The following is a 23,585-nucleotide window of genomic DNA, read 5'->3' as shown; positions in this document are numbered from 1 at the left end:
CTCCTGCCTCAGTTCACTCCCCGTGGTTATACCCTGGGTCCTGGCTCCAAATCATGGCACGCCAAGTGACAAGCAGGTCCCTTTGCTAAGGGAAAGATGCCACAGAGACTCAAAGAGTCTTCTGCCCTTGATCAGAGTCATAAAGACAGAGCTGGAAGGCAATTCTTCATTCAGCTGGCTAAGCCCCTCATTGTACAATTTTGAACACATTGAAGTCCAGTGATTGTCAGATTGGATAAACGTGCAAGAGTCAACTATTTTCTGTCCACAGAAAATACATTTAACATGTAAAGACACAGATATGTTGAAGGGAAAAGAGATACCATGCTTTTTCTTATGCAAACAGTGAACATATGAAAGCTGCTGTGCCTATATTAATATCAGACATATTATACTTCAAGATAAGAAATATTATGAGAGATAAAGAGAGTTATTTCATAATGATAAAAGGTTTAATTCATCAGAAAGACATGACTGTTGTAAATGTGTGTGTGTCTATTAATGGATCCTTAAAAGAAATGAAACAAACATTGGCTATCATAGTTGGCCATTTCAACATCACCCTCTCAGCAATTAATGGGACAACTAGGCAAAAAGAATCAGTAAAGATACAGAAAATTTGAACAACACTATAGATCAACTTTACCTAATTCACATTTATAGAACACTATACCTCAATGCCTGCAAGATATACATCCTTTTCAAGTGTATACGGAATGCTCACCAAGACAGGCCATATTTTGAACCATAAGTTTCAGAAAATTTCAAAAGATTAGAAACTTACAGAGTATGTTCTCTGACAACAGTGGATTTAAATTAAAAAATCAATTAACACAAAAATATCTGGAAATGTTCCAAATAATTAGAAATTGAAGAATGCACATCTAAATAACCAATGCATCAAAGAAGAAATCACAAAGGAAAATGTAAAATATCTTGAAATGAATGATAATGAATATACAACATATAAAAACCTGTGGGATATAATCAAAGCAGTGTTGAGAGGGAAATTTATATGTGTATGTGTGTGTATATTTAAATGTTCATGTTGGAAAAGAAGAAAGATTTTAAAATAACTTATCTAAGTGTCTGCCTTAATATGCTAGAAAAAGAAAAGAAAATTAAGTAAAAGAAAGGAAATAGTAAAGACAAGAGCAGAAATAAATGAAAGAAAAAGGCAAAGAAGAGAGAGAATTAACAAAATTTCGTTCTTTGAAAAGATTGAAAAACCCCTGGCAAGACTGATGAGAGAGAGAGAGAGAGAACACACGCTATTAAGGATAAAAGAGAAATCACAGATGTTACAGATATTGAAATAAAAATAAGGCAATATTTTGCCAATAAATTTGACAACTCAGATGAAATTGACAAATTCCTTAAAAACACACACATGCAAACACAACTTTCCAAAACTGACACAAGAAGAAATAGAATATTGGATTAAGCCTGGGTTATATACAATATTGGATTAGAATACTGGATTACAAATTTGAATTTGTAATAAAAAACTTTTCCGTAAAAAATATTTCACTGGTAAGTTCTATTAAACTTACAGATAAATAACCTCAATCTCACACAAATTCTTTCAGAAAATAGTGAGAGATAAAACAACCCCCAACTAATTTTTATAAAGCCAGCAAAACTCAATACCAAAACCAGACAATTAAAAAGAGTCGTATACTAATATTTTTCCTAGATATGGGTTCAAAAATCCTTAATGAAATATTATAAATCGAATCTGGAAATATGTAAAAAGATACTGCATCATAACCAAGTGAGTTTTATCCCAGGAATGCAAGGTTGATTTAACATTTGAAAATCAATGTAATTTACCACATTGCGAAAATAAGGGAGAAAAATCATTTGAGAAACTCAGCATACATTCAGCTCACAGAAAACTTCCTCAGACTGATGAAGAGCAGACTGGTACATAAGAGCCGACTGGTCCTGTTGGTGCATAAACAACACCAACAGTAATGACAACAGCAACTACTCCAACCTACAGTGAACATCCTATTTAGTAGGTGAAATACTGAACACTTTCCACTTCATGCTGAGAACAAGGCGAAGATGTTTGCTCTCACCACTTCTATGCAACATTGCACTGGAAATTGTAGCCAGTACGATAAGGAAGAAAAAGAAATAAATATTGGAAAAGAATTAAAGCTGCCTTTATTCAGCAATGATATGACTATTTATGTAGAAACGTTTTAAGAAATAAAATCTTAAGACTATGCAAACTAATGCATTAATTTAGCAAGATCACTAGTATGTGAGGTCCATATACACAAAGCAATTTTATTTGTATCTACTTGTGATAAACAATTAGAAAATTTCATTCATAATAGCATAAAAGTATAAAATATTCAGGAATAAATTTAATGTAATATGTACAAGACCTTTACATTTAAAAATCACAAAATATTAAAGAAATTAAAGAAGACCTAAATAAATGAAAAAATGTACCATGTTTATGGATTAGAAGTCTCAATGTTACAATGTTACAATATCCATTTTCCCCCAAATATCTATAGATACTATGCAATCCCAATAATAAGTTCAATAGGCTGATTTTTAAAATGAAATTGACAAGTTGTTTCTACTATATATGTATGATATTGCAAAGGATTTAGAATAGCCCAAATAATATCAAAATAAAGAACATAGTTGGAGGTTATTACCTTATTTTAAGACATAAAAAGCTTGAAAAACTAGAGTAATCAAGATAGTGTAGGGTGGTGATAAGGATAGACAATTAGGTCAATGGAAGAGAATAGAGTCGAAAGATATACCTATACATATACAGTTATTTGAATTTTACCAAAAGCACCAAGGCAATTCAATATGGAAATGAAAGTCTTCTCAACAAATGGTGCTAGAATAAACGTGATAAAAGATGAACTTCAACTCCTACCTAACACCATGCACAAAAATTAATTTGAATGAATAATAGATCTAAATGTAATAGCTAAAATTATAAAGCATCTAGAAGAAAACAGGAGAGAATCTTTGTAACACTGGAGTAAGCAAATATTTTTTAGCATATAAAAAACACAAATCATTTTACTTGTCAACTATACCTCAACAAAGCAGGAGAGGGGAAAGCACTAATCATAAAAGCTAACAAATTAGACTTCATCAGTGGAATGGAAGAGAAGTGAACAACGTTAAGAGATATCAAGGAGGTAACATAGACAGGGCCTGGTGATTGGAGGAAGAAGTATGTTTTGGATTACTCTCATAGTTTTGGCCTCATTCACTGAGAAGGAGCACCCAAAGCAGTACCCAGTTAGTAAGGTAAGATCACAACACACAAAAATAAACTTTTTAGGATGAAACTATGACCATGTTTCTCCCCCGCTTACTCTTCTTTAGTGAGTCTCCCTGCCTACAAAATATGGTCCAAGCCTCTTAGACACACAATGCCCTATATGATCTGGACCATGCTGAGTTCTCCTACCTCAGGCCCACTACTCTCCTTCCCTTCCTCCTTTGAATCCTGTGCTATGTTTGTTTATTTCCAGAGGTATTGTGTCTTTTCATGTCCCTATGCATTTGCATTAGCTGAACCCTCTGCTTGGACAATCTCTCAACTTGAGCGATATATCAGTCTTTTTCTCAGGAATCCCAGACCATTCAATCTAAGCCTCTAATATAGGAATCTTTGCTGCAATTTTTCCTTTACTCATCTGTCTTTCTCAGTAGATTGTGAATGCCTTGAGGATAAGGTTATTTCTTACTTAACTCTGGTATTCCTTATACCTAGTGTCAAAAATGTTGAAAGAATGGATGGATGGTGAAGGGTCAAGATTTCTGCCTTTGCACTCACCACTCATTCTGCAAGATCTTATTAAGGTCTAAATAGCTTCTCTGCAGAAGAGGAGAAATGCTAAATCCCTTGGGAGGTGACAGATGACATAATAAGTGGCATTTGATCAGAAAGATGTTATGGGAGTGATTTCACCTCATTCTCTGGGACTCTATAAAACGAAAACAGTCACAGCTGCCCCCAAGAAAGCAAGAATACCATGCAATGTGCTTGTGGGAAGAAGGAAACCCCCAAACACTTCATAACAATATCACTAATAAGGTGATCTTTGAAACCAAGTCAATGAAGTCAGCCTTGTTAGAGTATTGGACACAAGGAGGGCATTAGCGAGAATATTTTTTTTCCTGAAAATCTTTGAGAGTGGAAGAAATATGATCTTATTCAGTGGTCCCCCTTTTCCTCCAAAATGCAAGTTACCTTTCTCTTTATCTTCAATGCTTCTCCCTTGGTTCAAGCTTTTACTATCTCTTGCCTGAACTATTTATTGCAATGGCCTGCCAGGTCTCCCTGCCTCTAACCCATCCTAGGCTCTGGGGCACCAAAGTAATCTTTCTTTAATACAGATCTAACCATGTCACCCCATCCTGAAACTCCATCCCTCTTATATCTTGTGGGAGAAAGCCCATGCTTATTTACATGATTCGTAAGGCCGCTCATGTTGAAGGCCCTATCTCTCTTTGCAGCCTAACTTTCTATATTGCTATCAACAGCCACAGTTTCTGATGAGAGATGTGTTAGATAAGCAAAAAGATTGAAGACCATCCTAGCTACTCTGCTTTTCTTGCCATTCTTTGTAGATGCTTGTAGGGAAAGAAAGGCAGTGATTTTTTTGCCTTCTTATCATAAAGAATCATGACTGACACCCCTGTAACAAAAGGCAGGTTAATAAGAGAAAGTATAACAAATGTATTACATGCATACATAGGCACAAAAGTCATATGCACAAATATGAAAACTCTAGAAAAGGGCCAGATGGTTGATGTGTATATACCCTCTTCATTGAGGGGATGGAAATGGAAGGATGTTGTAAAGGAATGAAACTGAAAACCAGACAATGGTTTGTAAATGATTCTCTTTGGATGCTGAATGAGACTAAAGGACAAATAATAGCTTGTGGACTAGTTACAGAAAGGTGAGGGGAAGAGCTGCATTGTGAACAAAGGTTGTCTTATTATGCAGATACAGTCTCCCAGGTAATCTCTCAGCATGGCCCTCAGAAAAATAGATGAAAAGTCTGTCTGAGCATGGTGACAACTCCCAGTCTCTTCTCTTCTCTGGTGGTTAACCTTTCCTGGTTATTTAATGAGAGCCCTAAGAAGAGAGTTTTAAGACAATTACATTTATTTTGGAAGAAGTTTTCTTAGTCAGATAAGGGAACTTCCAGAGAAAGCCCTCTCCTAGTTCTTTGAGGAAAAAAAGAGAATCAGAGAGACAGGGAGGCAGCAGAAGGTCAAAGAGAAACCCTGAGGCTGCTTCTTCCTTTTAGCATGTCAACACACCACATCTGGGGACATTTTCTGAGCCCAAATGTTGTATTCATTTTTTATTGCTAAGTAACAAATGGCCACAAATTTAGCAACTTCAAACAACATACAGCTGGGCACAGTGGCTCACATCTGTAATCCCAGCACTTTGGGAGGCCGAGGTAGGAGGATTGCTTGAGCCCAGAAGTTCGAGATCAGCCTGGGTAACATAGTGAGACCCTGTCCCTACAAAAACAGAAAACAAACAAGAAAAGCATAGTTTATTATCTCAGTTTCTGTAGGTCAAGAGTCCAGGCCTGGCTTAGCTGGGTTCTCTGCCTCAAGGTCTCAACAGGCTGCAACCAAGGTGTTGGCTGTGCTGCATTCTCATCTTGAGGTTGGAGTAGGGAAGGGTCCTCTCTAAGGCTCACCCAGTCTGTTGGCAGACATCAGTTCCTTGAAGCTGAAGGGCTGAGGCTCTCAACTCCTACAAACCACCTACAGTTCTTTGCCACGTGGGTCTCTTTACAGACAGTGCACAACACAGATGCTTGCCTTTTCAAAGCCAGTGGGAGAGAGCGAGAGCAAGACTGCTAGCAAGATGGAGTCTTTGGAAAGTAATGTCATCACAGAAGTGGCATATCATCTTTGCCATAATTTATTGGTCAGAAACAAGTCACAGGTCCCACTCACACTCAGGCATGAACACCAGAAGGCAGGGATCATAGGGATCATCTTAGGGTCTGTGTGCCAGATGCCAGACTTTCAAGCTTCTGAGTCTTTGCTCATGCTACTGTTCCCTTTCTCTCTTATGCTCTTCCTCTGCTCTCCCGCCTGCCAAGATCCTACTTACCCTTTGAGCAAAAGTTATTTCTCTGGTGGCTTCAATAGACTCACCTCTGCTTTCATTCAAGATAGTTTCTCATGATTCTGCTTCCAGAACACTTTGTTCATTAAGCTACACTAGCACTCAGCAGAAGATGTAGACCTCTGATGATGAGCTGCATTCAACAGGCTCTTAGCACCTTTTACACGCCATGGACTAGATTTATGATATGGTTTGGCTGTGTCCCCACCCAAATCTCATCTTGAATTGTAGCTTCCATAATCCCCATGTGTCATGAGAGGGACCCAGTGGAAGGTAATTAAATCATGGGAGCAGGTTTTTCCCGTGCTGTTTTGGTGATAGTGAATACATCTCATGAGATCTGATGGTTTTATTAAGAGCAGTTTCCCTGTACATGCTTTTCTGCCTGCCTCCATGTAAAATGTGCCTTTGCTCCTCCTTTACCTTCTGCCATGATTGTGAGGCTTCCCCAGCCATGTGGAGTTGTGAGTCAATTGAACCTCTTTCCTTTATAAATTATGCAGTCTCAGGTATGTCTTTATTAGCAGCAAGAGAATGAACTAATATAACATGGCACTGGGGACAAAAAATAGAGACCAGCCTGTGGCAAGAGTTCCCAAGCCAATCCATGGACTAGCCCCATCAGAATCACATGGGCAGCATGTAATAGATAATGATTCTCAGGCCCTAGTCCCTAAAGATCCTGATTCCATGAATCTGGAGTGAGGCTCAGGAATCTGTTCTTACAAAGCCTCCCAGGTGATTGTGGTCTCCAGTCAGGCTCAGAACCACTGGCATAAAGGAATGAGCATTGCACCTGAGTTGCTCAAGGCTGACTTCAGACCCACCTCTACAGAATGTTGTAGACTGGACAGATAAACTCTGAGAAGACAGATGGAAAAGCCTTGGCTCAAGTCTGGCTCTGCCACTTAACCTGTCTGACTTTTGAAAAGATACTGGTCCTCTCTCAGCCTCAGTTCCTTCATTGGTAAAATGGAGAAATCATGCAATCCACCTCTAAGGGTGCTGTGAGGCTGTGAGGATTAAGTGAGATAATGCTTGGGAGAGCACCTGGCATGCAGGAAGCCATCAGAAAGAGTTTTGTTATATTGATCCCTGAGTTCAGCTGCTCTGCCAATTAAGGCCACAATGCCATTGGAGCTAAAAACATTGGTCTTTGGACAGGGGCTCCCCTCTCCTCTCTGTAGATTCTATCCCTGTGTGGCTTACAGAAATGACTTAGACAGCATCCTCTTCCTGTGGTCCCTCTCCACCCAGACTGACTCCTCCTCAGCCTCAGCTGCTGTTAGCACTGCAGACAGGGGCCTGGCCCTGGAGGAAGCTTCCCACCCTTCACTGGGGCTGGCTTCCTCTTATGGGAAGAGAGCAGCCAGCGTAGCCCCAGGACAAGCTCAGCCCCTGCCACGGCTCTCAAAGCCCAGCTCCCTGGGGGCTCGAGGCGGGGGCACCATCCACTTTTTCCATGGCTGCCTCTGAGTACTTTGAATTTCATTAGGGCAATTATTTCAAATGGAATTAAAAGGGTTTAAAATTAGACCCTAAACTCTTAACAATTAGTGACGCAGCGACCTGCCATCCACAGAGCCACAATAGACCTATGTTGATTGGTACGTGAGCACAATGCCACTCTCCAGATTTGCATGCACTATTACAGTAAACGGCTTTTAATAAAATGAATATTCTTAATTACCACCGCATTAATAGGCTGTAAATTAGTCATCATTAAAGGCCCCACAGTCCCTCCCCACCTCTCTGAGAGTTGCCAGTGGACTTCACCAGCTCAGCTGCTTCTGCAAACTCCAAGTTTTCCTGTGGCCTCCTGGGAGGTGGTGAGTTGGGGGTTATGCCCCCATAATAGCCTCAGGCCAGAGATTTGAATGCTGGGACTGTCTCTGTGATCCTCTCCACTGCACCAGCTTGAGACTTCCTGTGTTCTCTAAAGGCTGGTCAGCCCATGTCAGCGCAGGTCCCTCAAACCACCTGGACTACATCATTTATTCATCCCATTACCCATTCACTTATTCAGCAGGCACTATGTCAGGCACAGCAGATACTCACTGAGAAGTGATCCAGCATCTGCTTGAACCTCCAGTGTCTGCTTGCAGCCCCTGCTAACAGGTTTTCCAGAGAGGAGGCTGACACCTGCTGGAATCTGACAGGCACTGGGCTCCAGTCATCCACATGCCCAAAGAAGGGCAAGTTCTGGCAGAGGAGAACCCTGGGAAAGGTCCATGTTGGGCAAGAGCACTGGACTCACAGTTCTGAAATCCATTCCCAAGTCATTGTGAGAGCTTGAGCAGGTCACCTGCACCCCTGGGCCTCAGTTTCCCCATCTGTATGGTGGAGGCATTGGTCTAGGCCTACAGACAGCACACTTTTTCTGAAGGGCCAGATCATAACTATTTTAGGCTTTGTTAGTCAAACGGTCTCTGTCAAAACTATACAACTTGGCAAGACAGGCAGGAACCAGATTTGGCCCATGGGACTGTAGTTAGCTAACCCCTGGGTTAGGGGAATCATAAAAGCCCAGGCAACTCTGATGTTCTAGGAATCTATAAAAAGGCTATTCTTCCACAGGAGGTGTAGGGAAGACTTCAGAGGCAAACTTTCACAAGGGACATTTAGACTGAATTAAAGGGGATGTGCTTTTCTTTCCTGTTCTGTATCACACCCATCAACACACATATGTGCATGCACGCACACACAGACACACACAATAGCAGGATAAATGACCTCCAAAAATATCAGAGCCTCATCCTTGAACTGTGAATGCCACCGATATGATAAACCTGTGTGTTTTTGCAGATGTGATTAAGTGAAGGATCTTGAGATGAAGCAATTATAATAGATTATCCAGATGGGCTCTAAATGCTGTCACAAATATCCTTTTGGGAAAGAGGCAGAGGAAAAGTAGACACAGAAGAAGGGAAGGTGATAGTAAGATGGAAGCAGAAGTGCGATAAGGCCACAAGCTCAAGGAAGGCAGGCAGCCACAAGCGCCTGGAAGAGAACAGGAGTAGATTCTACCCTGGAGCCTCAGAAGGAAGCATGATCCTGCCTACACCTTGACTTCAGCCCAGTGAAACTGATTTCGGACTTCTTGCTTCCAGAATTGTGAGATCCTACACTTTCGTTGTTTCAAGCCAAGTTTGTGGTAGTTTGTTACAGCAGCCATAGCAAACTAATACACACACCTTTTCCCCTATAGGAACCACTGACGTTCCTCATGCTCTCTGTTAGCTATATTTTGTCTAAAAGGAGAAATAATAATAATCATCCTTTATATGGATTATTGCACTGTGATTTATATTGATAAAACACTTCCATACACATACAGTAGCTCTGTGAGGAAGATGTTAGAATCTTTATTCCATAAGGTGAAAACTAGACTCTCAGAAATGTAAAGTGTTTTACCCAAGGTCACTCTATTAGTAGGTGTCAGAGCCAGAACCTGAACCCAGATCTTTTGATTCCCGATGTACACTGCAGAACAAGTTGAAAGCTAAGCTAAACACACTGGCTACAGGGAAACAAGAATTACGGGAGTGTTGAAGTCAAATTGCAGTTTGGGAAAAGAGTCCCTTTAGAATGGAATGATACTGTTTGGGTTTCCAGCTAATGCCTGACTCAGGTTCAGGCTCTGATGAGGATTTAGGATGTGTCTCATTTCTGGGTGGGTGGCAGACCCCACCTGAGGGGGGCTCTTGGCTGGGAACCCTCAGATTCACTGAAGGTTGGACCAACCCAGCAGTTGGGCCTTCTGCGAGCCCTGAACGTGGCTCTTTAATTTAGGCCTTTTCAAGCCATTTGTGAAAATCACAAGCAGCTCTATGGTGAAGGTCAGAGAAGGGCACTCTGCAACTAGCTGGTCTAGAATTCTTTCCATCACACCACAGCTGGAGAAACCAGACAGCAGATGTGTTGATGCCTTGTATGTGCCAGTGGCAGGAGGAGCAAACCCAGACAGGAACTCACTTTATTAAAGAGCAACGTCCTGTAAGGGAGGTTAGTTGTCTGGGTTGCAACCAGAATCATGATCGCTATGGCAAGGACTCCACCAGTCCAGATCTTTATTTATTGCAAAACCCAAATGAGTACTTTAACTCAGGATTCTCTGAAGACCACAAATGTATTGATTGAGAGTGATTGAACAACCCACACCAAGAAAGGATAATGTATACAATTTATTATACATTTAATTCAAGCACATTTGTTTCCAACAATCACAAATGATATATAGTATGGTATTCTAAAGCTGGAGGACTTACTCTAGCTGATTTTAAGACTTATTGTAAAGTTAATGGTGGTATTCAGACAATGTGGTATTCATATAAGGATATACAGCTAAGTCAATGGAACAGAACAGAGTCAAGAAATAGACCTATACATATATGTTCAGTTGATATTTGATGAATGTGCAGAATGATTCAGTAGGGAAAAGGATAGCCTTTCCAACAAATGGTGATGGAACAACTGGGTATCCTTATGGGAAAAAAATAAACCTTGACACCTACCTCACACCATACAGAAAAATTAACTTGAATGGACCATAGACCTAAACATATAACCTAAAACTATAAACTACAAAACAAAACACAAAAGTACAAAGGACTTTGATCCAGAATATTTAAAGAGCTCTTACAACCTAAGACAAACAAACCAATTTAAAAACGGGTGAAATGTTTGATCAGACATTTCACAAAAGAAGATATACACATGGCCAATAAGACCATTAAAAGACGTTTAACATCATTAGTCACCAAGGAAATGCAAATTAAAACCTCAATGAAGTAGTAGTGCTCATACCCACTACAATGACTTAAATTTTTTAAAATAGACAATACCAAATGTTAGTGAGTATGTTGAGGAACTGGAACTCACACAATTTCTGGTGGAGGGTGTACAATGTTACTTTATAAATAGTTGTGCAGTTTTTTTTAATGAATTTAAACATACACTTAAAAAAATTTTTAGTGACAGGATCTTGCTCTGTTGCCCAGGCTAGAGTGCAATTGCGTGATCACAGCTCACTACAGCCTCAAATTCCTGGGCTCAAGCAATCCTCCTTGCCTCAGCCTCCTGAATAGCTGGGATTACATGCATGTACCACCGTCCACAGAAAAACATACAGTTATTGTATGACCTAGCAATACCTAGGTATTTATCCAAGAAAAACATATGGCCACAGAAAGGCTTGTACACAAATGTTTATAGCAGCTTTATTCAAAATAGCTTAAAACAGGAAACCCGTCAGATGTTCATCAACGAGTGCATGGATAAATTGTGATACACTCATGCAATGGAACACCATTCAGCAGTGAAAAAAGAACTACCAATACATGGTACAACACAGATGAATCAGATAAAAGATAAAACATACTGTATAAATCCATGTGCATGTAGTTCTGGAACAGATTAAATTAACCTATAATGATGGAAATCACATCAGCGGTTCCCTGGAGGGGGAAATTTTGGGGGAAGGAGCAGAGAAGGGGCACAGGACACTTTTTGGAGAGATGGAAATGCTCTATATGTTGATTGATGTGGTAGTTACAAAGGTGTATACATTCGTCAAAACTCAAATTGGTTCCTTTTATGGCATGTAATTTATGACCTCAATGAAATGAAATTTATTTTTAAAATATATATGTATTGTGGAGTTCTGATCATTAATTTCCATATCCTTCCCAAAACAAACTGGTGAAAACTCACATCCAGATACACACACATGGATAAATCAGCCCAGATTTTTCTTTTTCTTGTGTTTCTCAAGTTCTACTGGTGTGTTCTCAGTCCTGGCCTCATGCTGGCCTGTGCTGGTACACCACTTCATTGTAGACAGGCTTTTTAACTCTGAAAATTCCCAGCCTCTGCTTAGGATGATTTTGGGTTTGGGGGAATGATAGCCACACTCTGCTCTGAGTATAGAATCAACTGAAAAGGAGATACTGGAATCAGACAGAACTGAAACTATCAGGTCCGTCTTCACTGAGGCTAATTAAAGGTTTAGGTCAGTGGTCACGCCAGGCTCCCTAACAGTTCTCTCTCCACCCAAGCACTGTCCAACTAGACAACCTTGGCCTTTTCCACAAAGACAGACATTCCCCTTAAGTAGACTACGTGGAAGAAGAGAGAATGCCTGAATGCTGAGGACAGCTGCCCCAAAAGACAGAGAGAACTAAAAGAGGCTGAGCCATACTCCATCCTCGTTCCAAATTCGCCTGCCAGTTAAGTCCTAGGGAGAGGGAGGAGCATATGAGGGATGGGGAAAGGTCAAGAGTGGATATTCCCATCACCTACAAAATATAAGGAGGTCATGGTGGGGAGCAGGGAGATGAGTCAGCAGCAGTGTCTATCATTATGGTGACCACACATTACACTTTCTCAGGGACCATCCCAATTAAAGCCTGCCATCATGTAGAAACTATACACGATGCCCCTTTCACCCTCAAACGTGTCCCTGTTTGAACAATTGATGATATGGTCATGCCACCTACCAATCATATGGAAAAGGGCTTGCTTTCCTCTAATGCTGATGACAAATGTCTCCACCTCATGCCTATTACTTTCCCTTTTTGAGGCCCAGAACCCCTTTCTTTCTTTCTAAGCACTCTTAGCCTCAAAATCCTGGTCATACTGCAGAACTAGGAAGGGTTTCTAAGCCTTCTTTTATCCAATCACATTAGATCCTTCTGGCAACTTGGATCCAAGCTGAAAATGAGTGGTCCACTGGGCAAATGCGTGACAGTTCTGGTATTTCTTGAGCACTACCATGAAATGCTTGCCCCACTCAGGGTTTTGCTGTTTATCCTTGTATTAATCCGTTTTCATGTTGCTGATAAAGATATACCTGAGACTGGGTAATTTACAAAAGAAAGAGGTTTATTGGACTTACAGTTCTACCTGGCTGAGGAGGCCTCACAATCATGGCAGAAGACAAGGAGGAGGAAGTCACCTTTTACATGGATGGCAGCAGGCAAAGAGACAGCTTGTGCAGGGCAACTCCTGTTTTTAAAACCATCAGATCTGACCGGGTGCAGTGGCTCACGCTTGTAATCCCAGCATTTTGGGAGGCCAAGGCAGGCAGATCACCTGAGGTCGGGAGCTCGAGACCAGCCTGACGAACGTGGAGAAGCCCCGTCTCTACGAGAAACCCCGTCTCTACTAAAAATATTTACAAAGTTAGCTGGGCATGTGGCACATGTCTGTAATCCCAGCTACTTGGGAGGCTGAGGAAGGAGAATCGGTTGAACCCGGGAGGCAGAGGTTTCAGTGAGCCGAGATCGCACCATTGCACTCCAGCCTGGGCAAAAAGACTGAAACGCCATCTCAAAAAAAAGAAAAAGAAAAAAGAAAACCATCAGATCTTGTGAGAACCATTCACTATCCTGAGAACAGCATGGGGGAAGACCCACCCTTATAATTCAATCATCTCTCACCGGGTCCCTCCCACAACATGTGGGAATCATGGGAGCACAAGATGAGATTTGGGTGGGGACACATAGCCAAACCATATCAATCCTTTTCTCTCTGTTGGGAGGGGAGCTGCACTGTGTGCTGAAGGAACCCAGAGAGGCATGTGACAAGGTTGCTGTCCTTGCAGAATTGCAACCTTGCAGAAGGTTGCAAGGTTGCTGACCTGGACTACTGGGGCAACTGAGTGCAGCTCATATCACACGGGCCGTTCAATAGAGAGCCTTGGAGGCTGCAAGAAGGAGGGAACTGTTCTAACAGTAGATGAGAGAGGCAGCATGAAGACATGGTATCTGAGCAGAAGATCAGAAGGCAGAGACCAGGGAGAGCCTCATGGATGCAGTATGATAGCAGCCCACTGGGACTTCCCCATGCTCCACCCAAGTGCAGGACTTCAGCCCCTTCCACAGGATGTGCTCCAACAGCCCTCCAAAGTTTCATCCTTCTGTCCATGCACTGCATTGTTGCCAGAGCTGGCTTCCCATTGCCTAACTCTGGCTGTTTCACAACCCTGCTCAAGAACTTTCAATGGCTTCCCATGGCCCACAAGATGGCCAACATCCCAGCCTGTCATTTAAGGCTTACCATAGTAGAGCTCACTCCTGTCCTATCATTGTCATCTCCCTGCACTCTCCCACTTCGAAGTTGCACCATCCTCCTTTTCAGGCGTTTGCATCTCCAGCGAAAGATGTCCTCATTTTTGAAGAATGGGCTGCCATGCTCCCTTCTCTCTCTGGCCTCCTCTGATGCTTCCAGGCTGCAGCAGACTCTCCCATTCCTGTTGCACATCATTCATTCTTGTTGGTAACTATTATGAGTCTGCATTGTCCTATAATCTGTTGGCTTCATGCGCCTCCTTTTGCCACCCCAGACTTCAGGGCCCAATAGGGCAGGCACTGTGTCCTTCAATGTCTCCATCCCCAGGGGCCAGCCCAGGGGAGGGCGCAGAGGAGATGATTAGGAAGTTGTGCTGGGTCGTGTGGAAGGACCTCCTGGGACAAATGCACCCCTCTCATCATCACACCATCACCTACTTGACCTGTGCCCTGTCCATGCCCAGGGCCCCAGAAGGTGCCCTCAGTGACCAGCTGGGTCTTTCTTTGAAGAAGTTTACAGGAAAACCAGCTGGTCCTCCAGTTATCATTTTGTCCTTTGGGTGGAACTGCAGGGGGAAAAAATGAAGTATATTAGTTTACTGCTTGATCTCTGCTCCCCTAAAGCAGAGCCAAATCTAAAGTGAATATTGATGACTTTACAAAGCCCAGTGTTTGGTATTCACTGAAAACCATTGTGTATTCCCTAAATAGTTCGTTTCGTTTTTGAAAGTTCTAAAAAATTCACTGTATTGAAATGCATGTTGTTGCATCGATTTTTCTAAAATACACCTTGTTATCTTTTCTTTGGTAATTGGTGACTGGTAATGACTTTGGCAATTTAACATGTTCTTGCAGACACTTTTCCCATTCCCCTTGATAACTGAAGTCAGGAGCGAGGGCCTGTCTGTCAATCTCTGACGCCTGTCAGCCTACATGATTGACGGCTTTTGGTCCCACAATAGAGACCATTTTTGCAGCCCCCGTTCTGTTATTTTCCCCTCCTTTAATACTTGTGGGGGATGGTGTTTGCTTTATAATCTGCGTTTAAAATCCAACTTGGAATGAGGCCAGCTCCAGAGAAATTATCACAATGTCTTGTTAGCTTTGCATCAGGAAAAATCCCCAGAGAGTTTCTTAAGCTATGATTCCACCTTCTGAAATTACCTCTGCTCAAAAATCTAAGCTTCAGCCTTCATCCTGATCCTTTCCAATTCCAGGAGAAAGGCCAAGGGGTGCTCTAATAGAGGGCACGACCAGGGGGACTGTGAGCATCTGGAGTGGAGTCGGGCCATGCCTCCCTCCCAGGGCCTCCATGTATAAGCCCCCACATAACGTATGTGGGTCTGAGTGGCAGAGCTACTCAGAAGAAACGCTCTGGATCTTCTAGACAATTACATTTCTCAAAAAACAGCAGACAGGAGCCTCTCCCAACTAAGATGAGGCGGCATTTGGTTCATCATGGCACCACCAGGTCACATGATTGTCTGAACTTTTTGGATAAATAACCAGAAAACAAGATCAATGAGGGCCAAGGACTGAAGGGATGACATGTTGCCTTGTGGTGTGTTTGGGGTTCATAGACCCACTTCAGAATCTGATGAAAACTGTGGCCCCTCTCCCTAGAAAACTGCACATCCTGTCACGCTCAAATCCTGCCTATGATTTCAGGGGAAGCTGCTTCTCTTCCGTGGTCTCCGGCTCTGGGGTTAAGGTCTCCTGCTCTGTGAAGGTAGCAGAGAGCTCATCCCCAGAGTCATGACTCTGCAGTGTTGGGTGCTGATTTGAGGGATAGACATAGGAAAAAATTCTGTAAAAGGCCAACTCTTGGAACCATGTGCATTGGTCAGAGCTGCCTGTGGCAAGAGTGGCTGTGGGGGAACGGGGGCTGGTATGGTTTGGCTGTGTGCTCCTGCCCAAATCTCATGTCGAATTACAATTCCCAGTGTTGGAGGTGGGGCCTGGTGGGAGGTGATTGGATCCTGGCGGTGGTTTCTCATGAGTCAACACCATCCCCCTAGTGCTGTTCTTGTGATAGAGTTGTCAGGAGTTCGGTTGTTTAAAAGTGTGTAGCACCTCCCCACCCCCTTCCTCCTGCTCCAGCCACCTAAGAGGTGCCTGTGTCCCCTTTGCCTTCTGCCATGATTGTAAGTTTCTGAGGCCTTCCCTGAAGACGAGCAGACGCTGCTATGCTTCCTGTACAGAACTGTGAACCAGTTAAGCCTCTTTTCTTTACAAATTACACAGTCTCAAGTATTTCTTTATAGCAGTACGAGAATGTACTAATATGGGGTCCTCACACAGAAGCCCAAGCCTGTAAATTTTCACCACCAGGTGATTAGTCTGTGGACACTCTAGGCAGATGGAAGAGCACTGATCAACATTTAAATTGGTGGATGTTGAGTAAAGCAGATTGCCCTTCATAATGTGAGTGGGCCTCATCCAATGAGTTGAAGGTCTCAGTAAAACAAAAACTGACCTCTATGAGCAAGAAGAAATTTGGCCAGCAGATCGCCTTTGGGGGAACTGCAACTCTTTCCTGGGTCTCCAGCCTGCCAGCCTCCCTTGCATATTTTGAATATATAATCCACAGTCACATGAGCCACCTCCTTAAAATAACTCTTTGTCTGTCTCTACACACACACACATTGCACACACACACCATGTTTGTTATGTTTTTCTGGAGAATTCTAAGACGCCCATTGATAAGTATTTTTTAATTACTTTGAGGTGGGATTCATAGCTTATGGAAAAGCTTTAGAAAAATTTTCTTTGAGACCCAAAAGCCCAGCAAGAATTATTTCACAGAAGGGCTAGGAGCCCAGCGTAGGTGGGCACTTCCTCCTGAATAAAGATTCCTGAAGAAATGACATGTCTTTCATAGACAGGAAGGGTCTGCAGACCAAGGCAAAGTCCCTCAAAGGGCATCACATGTGAAGGAGGAATTCTTGCTCTGTGTGTGCTCTGGTGCCAGGGGCAGCTGAAGGACAGTGGAACCCAGAGTCCAGGACACTCAGCCTAATGAAGCCAGGGACCTCACCCTACAAAACAAACCTGACAATATCTCTCAGAGTTTCCAATGATGATTTTTGAGAAACTGCTCAAAAACTGGAGCTGCAGGCAGCTGAAAGGCCATCTCAGGCATCACATATACCGCAGAACATCTCATTCATCATTTCAATGGAATTTTTATGTGCCTTCTATAAGGCAAGCATTAGAAATACAGAGGTGAAACAGACCAAAATAAGTCTTTCTCTCCATGGATTTTATTTTCTAGTAGGGTGAGGCTGGAGGAGAAAGTACAGATGACAAACATAAAGTTTAAAAGACATAATTAAGGCCCCCATAAAGAAATGAAGAATTAGAGTCTAATTAATTTCCTCCCCTTGAGTCTGGGAAGGCTTGTGACTTGCAATCAAAAGGATATGGCAGAAAGGAAGCTGTATAACTTCTGAAGTTGGTCATAAAAGATGATGATGCTTCTGCCTTGTGTGGTAAAACATTTGCCTTGGAGCTCTGAGTGTCATGAGAGCCAGCCAACTGTCCTGAGGTTGCCATATTGTAAGGAAGACCAAATTAGTCTTCTCCAAGGGACCACATGGAAAGGCCCTTGGACTACATACACAGAGAGAACGGGATGACCAGCCAGCCTCTAGCTCCTCTAGCCCTTCACTATTCCATCTCTAGATACCATGAATATAGCTGCATTGAGAGAGCCTAAGCCAGATCAGCCTAATGGGCGCTTCCCAAGTCTTTGACCCACAGAAACTGTAAGAGATAATAAAATGATTGTTGTTTTAAGACACAAAATTTTGGGTTTATTTGTTATGCAGCAGTAGACAACCAGAACAGAGTGACTGGAGGTAAGGGTTTACCTTATACGAGGAGATCAGGAAAGTCTCTCTTGAAAGATGACATCTGAGGCCTCTAAAACAAGAGAAGCTGCTGTGTGAAGGGCGGGGAGAAGAGCATTTCAGGCAGAGGGAAGTACAAAGGTCCTGGAGTGTCAACACCCTGGAAATTTCACAGAGGAGCAGTATGGCTTGGGCTTAATAAATGAGGGGTAGAGAGAATGGAGAAAGGGTCAGAGAGGTAGGAAGGAAGCAGATCATGAGCCTTTAGGCCAGGTGACCAGATGTCCCGGTTTGCCTGGGACAGTTCTGGTTGAAGCTTGTTGTTCCAACATAATTGTATGGATCTCCAACTTGTAGGCCATGGTAAAGAGCATAGATATTTTATATTACATTTTTTCTTCATTCCCTCAGTCTCCAGGCTGGTCCCTGTGCTCTCCATCTCACCCTCACACACTCCACCCTGAACCTAAGAGACAGCTCTTTCCCTCTCATGCATCCCTTTCCTAGTCTTGCTTTTTCTTCCTCTTCATTCTTATTCTCTTTGGAAACAGCCAAGACTGTTCCTTCCATGATCTCAGACCAACCACTGTGCCTTCAACATAGTGGAAGATGTGGAGAGACTGGCTGGAGTGGTTTTTGGTGTCCAATGTCCTGGGTTCAAGTTCCGGATCCACTATGTCTGGTCTATGTGACCTTAGGTGGCTTGCTTTCCCTTCTTAGGCCTTTAGATTCCTATCTATTGAGTGGAAATTTAAACTGTCTGCTTCATAGTGTTGTTGCAAAAAGAGCATTTGACTATTTGCTAATCAAGAGTTGGTTTCACGTCTGAGGAAGCTTGACAAGATGCTATGGTTTAAATGTCCCTTCCAAAACCCATGTGGAGATTTAATTGCCATTGTGATGGTATTAAGAGTTGGGACCAGTAAGAGGTGATTAGACCATGAAGGCTCCACCCTCATGAATGGATGAATGCCATTATCATCGGATTGGGTCTTGATAAAAGTGAGTTCAGCCTTCTCTTGTGCTCACTTGCTCTTGGCATCTCTTGCCCTTCCACCTTCCACCATGGGATGATACAGCAAGAAGACACTCACAAGATGCCAGCATCTTGATATTGGACCTCCCGGCCTCCAGAACTGTAAAAAGTAAACCTCTTTTCTTTATAAATTACCTAGTGTGGGGTAGTCTGTTGTAGCAACACAAAATGGACTGAAACACAAAAGGAGAGAAATTTTAAATCAAAGCCAAAAAAAAAAGATTATGATTGGAGATAAGGAAGAAATGCCTGATGTTCATAGTGGGGAGGAATAAAATCATTGGAGGATTCACTCTAGAGATGTTCAAGCTGAAAATATCTGGCTGCCTCTAGGATGGGGTGCATCTGTACTCCTGAAATAGAGGCCAGAGTCTGAGGTGGGTGACCTCAAGACCACTGCTGTTATGAGTTAATGTATTCATTCAAACAGGCTTGGATTCAAGTCCCAGTTCTTTCACTTGCTGGCCATGTCAGCTTGGGCAAATTGCTGCTTCAGTTTTCTCATCTGTAAAATGGGGGAAATCATGGTACCTATTCTCGGGAGGTATTGGGAGATAAAACAAGAAGAATAGGAAAACATGAACCCCTGTGTATCACACGTGGAAGTGCTAAAATATTGTTAGCTTGCATTTTCTTATTTTCAATGTACCAGGCACTAGGTTAGACCCTGAGAAGGGATATAAATATGACAGTGTTTCCAGGGTAGTGGTAGGGAGAAGGCAAGTATGGTACATAAGCTGCCATCACCCCAATTTAAATTAATGGAAAGCTAGAGTCAGGAAGGCACTGAGAGATGGAAAGGGTTACTCCAAACCCTGGTGGCTTCCCTGGTCCTAGTTTTAATTCCCATGAGGTCTGCCTGAGTTTGGTTTCTGTGAGACCTCCATGTTCTTACAATAACCACTGTCCCTCCTTATTTGAGCTGGCTTGAGTGAATTTCTGCTCCTTTATAACCAGTGATCCCTGAGGAACGCAAAAATGTTAGAAGGTTGTCAACGTGTTAAGAGAGCCCCAAGGATGATGAAATTGATTATTTCCTGTTGTTGCTGTGGGAGGTTTGGGAGCCAGGAGCTTGAAGTTTAGTTAGGACTTGGACCTACATTGTTTTGGAGTGAGACTTCTGTGGAGTAAAGAGTAAGTGGTCCAAAGGATAGAAGCTGTAAAATGCAGGGCATATTCAAAAGCTGGGAAGAAGTACAATCTGCGAGGAATTTGGGGTGTGCAAAGGAGAGTAAGGAGCCACAGAGCTGGAGAGGGAAAGAGGAGCCAGGTCCCTTGGTCTCCAGGTGGCAGTTTGAGGTGATAGGACTTCATTCATAGAAGGCAAGGAGTCACTCTGTTCCTTTTAAGCACAGAGATGACAGAGGGAAGACAAACAGCCATTTGAGGATGGATGAGTGCTGCGCAGCCCTAGAAGCAGAGGCAACAGAGAGAAGGCTGTTTCAGGGGGCCTGGATGGAGATGATGGGCCTGGGGCTAAGGCAGGGCCAGTGGAGATGGACAGTAGAAACTGCTTGGATTATCACCAAAACCAGGAGAATGGGATGTATAGATTGGCCAGCTTGGCCATGTGTTTATGCCTATGCCAGGGGACATCATTGCAGCCTCCCAGGATCACATAAAGTGAGGAAGGAACTGGTTCAAGGGAACCAGAAGGAAGACAACGAAAGCATGTGCTGGGTAAAACAACAACCAAAAACCTATAACTTCAGCAGACATTTGCTAGAACAACAAAACTTAGGGCAGGCTAAGAGGTCAAGATGGAAGAGAAGGAAAAGCAATAAAAGTTCAAAAACATAAGAGTGTTGATAGCAGCATGGTTCTTAGTAGTAAAAGCTTGAAACCACTAGAATGTCCAACAGCAAAGGAAGGGTTAAATAAATTATAGACTGTCCATTCAATGGAGCTGTACAATAGACTTTAAAAGGAAATGGTAGATGTATGATTTGAATGTGTCCCACAAATTTCATATGTCAGAAATTAAATCTCCAAATTTATATGCTGATTGAAGGTGGGGTTTGGGGGAGGTAATTAGGATTAGATAAAATCATCTGGGTGGGGCCTCATGATGGGACTGGTGGCTTCATAAGAATAGGAATATAGAGACCTGAGCTGACATGCACGCTGTTGCCCCTCTTGCCATGTGATGTCCTCTGCCATGTTATGATGCAGCATGAGGCCCTCACCAAAAGCCAACAAGAAGTGGCTGCCTGATCTTGGACTTCCCAGCCTCCAGGACTGCGAGCCAAAATAAACCTCTTTTCTTTATAAACTACCCAGTCTTGGCTGTAAGACAGTTAGATTTGAATGCATAGGCATGGAAATATATCTAGGAGATAGCAGGGTTTGGAAAAAGAGTGGTTAACTGAATAATGTGCATGACATGATCCTATTTATGTGGATAAAGAGATGTAGCAATTTTTTTCTTAAAAATTTGAGGAAGGCTGACTCTTACAAGAACAGCAGTCACAGAAGAACAGCACTTTGTGAGAGCTATTCTTAGGGGTTAGGGCTCCATGTCAATAGAATTCAGGAGGGCACAGCCCAAAGAAAGAAGAGATGAGTGGGAGGAAGCAAGAAGAGATTGTTAGCAGCTGCTATGAGCGAGACACTTTGGGGAGGAAGAGAGATGTCTAAAGCTGACTCTTAGAAAGCTGTGAAAAGCTCCTGCACTACCTTTTTAAAGAAACCAACAATAAAGATTTATATTATTCTCCAGGCTTCTGGAGTCTGATTTGGGTTATTTTGGATGACTGTTGAGCAGAGACCAGCAGCCTTAAAGGCTACTTAGATATATTTGGGTCACATCCATATATATGTATATAGGCACTTTTTAAAAGTCTGAAAGGATATACACCAAACTGTCAACAGTGGTTATCTCTGAAGGATGAAATATCAAGGGACTTTTACTTTCTCCGTATTGTCTTAAATTTTTTTTTTTACCTAATCATGCATTATTAGAATAAACAATACAGATACAAAGAAAGGAAAAGGAAAAAAATCTACTGAAATCAGACAAAGTGCACAGTAAATAAATACATGTTAGCTACAAGCATACTCAGTAAATAGTAATTAAGTGACAAATTAAATAAAGCTAATAACAGAGACTAAAATGATGAGAACTCAAGACAATGGGAGACTCCCTCCCCCACTGCACCCCTTCCCACAGTGCCAATCACAGTCCTTGCTGCTGGGGCTGAGGCTGGGGCTCTACTTTTAGGAGAAGCCTTAGGGTGAGAAGCCTCTAGCCCACAGACTATGGACTGCTCCAGAAAGGGCTGCTGGGAGAGGAGCCCCAGGGGGCAAACTGGGGAGTATGGGGGGCAGAACAAGATGCATTGGATCTTTGTGTCTGTGCCTTGGCTACACTCAGTTCTCTCTCTCCCCTTCTCACCTTCCCCTACCTCCCCTCCATTTCTTCCCTCTCCTCTCCTCCTTTATCCTCCCCTCCCCTCCCCTTCTCCTCTCTCTCTCTCTGTCTCTCTCTCTGTCTCTCTCTCTCTCTCTCTCTCTCTGTCAATCTCAGTTGGGTTCAGCAAAAATTCTGGGAATCAACTCTCTATAAGACTTTACTCTGTACTTAGGGTGGGTTGTGGTGATGGGGTGAGGTTTCACAAGAAAACCAGGAGAGGAAAGTGTAGGAAAATACCCCTCCCTGGAAGGCCAAGCTGACACTTGAGCAAAGGTAGAGAACTTGGGCAAGTGCACAATGAGCAGATGATATGGCTGGGACCAAAGTGCAGGGGCCTGTCCTCTCCACATTCAAGATCTGGTGATCTGGTGAGGCACGAGCATAGGATGTGCAGGAAGGAACAGTGGGATCCAAGTCTCAAGGGTGAAGGGCCTAGAAAGTCATGCAAAATAGCTGAGATGTTATTTTCTAGGCATTGGGAAGTCAGAAATGGATTTAATTGAGGAGTGACAGAGTCAGGGGTGCATTTTAGAAAGATCCCTGGAGCTGATGTGGAGGATGGTTGGAGAGGAGTAAGTCAAGGCAGACAGAGAGTAACAGGGCTGCAGAGAAGTCCAGGTGCAACATGATGAGGTCCCAAGTGATGCAGCAGCAGTGGGGATGAGAAGATGCTGAGAGTACCATACATGACATTGAACAGGGTGGCTGTGATCTGAGCAGATGTCAGGGAACTCCCCCTGTGAATCTCCCCAGCAGACCGTCTAGTTCGAGGGAACAAATCCTTATTGTGTATCATTCATTCATCCTATTGCATAACATTCATCCACTTGACAGATATTATTAATGTCTTCTCTATGCTTATCCCAGGCCAATCACCAAGAAATAGATGTGAATGGGACATAATCCCTGTCATCTAGGAGCTTAGAGTCCAGTAGAGAAACAAATGTGATATATTGATTGTAAACATGGCCCCAGTTACTCCTCAACCCGTGTATACATGCCTTTGCAAAGTGACTTTGGAATTCCTCTCATACGAGGTGGATTCTATTTTCCATGC

General features: G+C 42.7%; 1 long non-coding RNA gene across 1 annotated transcript in view, besides 1 other annotated feature; it reads left to right on the top strand.

Moving 5' to 3' along the window:
• LOC105378657 (uncharacterized) overlaps window positions 1-23,585 on the top strand; it is a 203,343-nt gene that overhangs the window by 134,226 nt on the left and 45,532 nt on the right. The window lies entirely within an intron of this gene.
• Window positions 7,026-7,544: an enhancer, noted in NCBI's record as "H3K4me1 hESC enhancer chr1:38827443-38827961 (GRCh37/hg19 assembly coordinates)". NCBI's record gives its function as "activates a minimal SCP1, AML or CMV promoter by ChIP-STARR-seq in naive H9 embryonic stem cells {active_cell/tissue: H9 hESC(naive)}" and the evidence as "EXISTENCE:reporter gene assay evidence [ECO:0000049][PMID:30033119]".

Source organism: Homo sapiens, chromosome 1 (assembly GCF_000001405.40).
Source record: "Homo sapiens chromosome 1, GRCh38.p14 Primary Assembly".
In the NCBI taxonomy this organism is placed as follows: Eukaryota; Metazoa; Chordata; class Mammalia; order Primates; family Hominidae; genus Homo; species Homo sapiens.
Note: the sequence above shows the minus strand (reverse complement) of the source record. Positions and strands in the feature narration are given on the sequence as shown.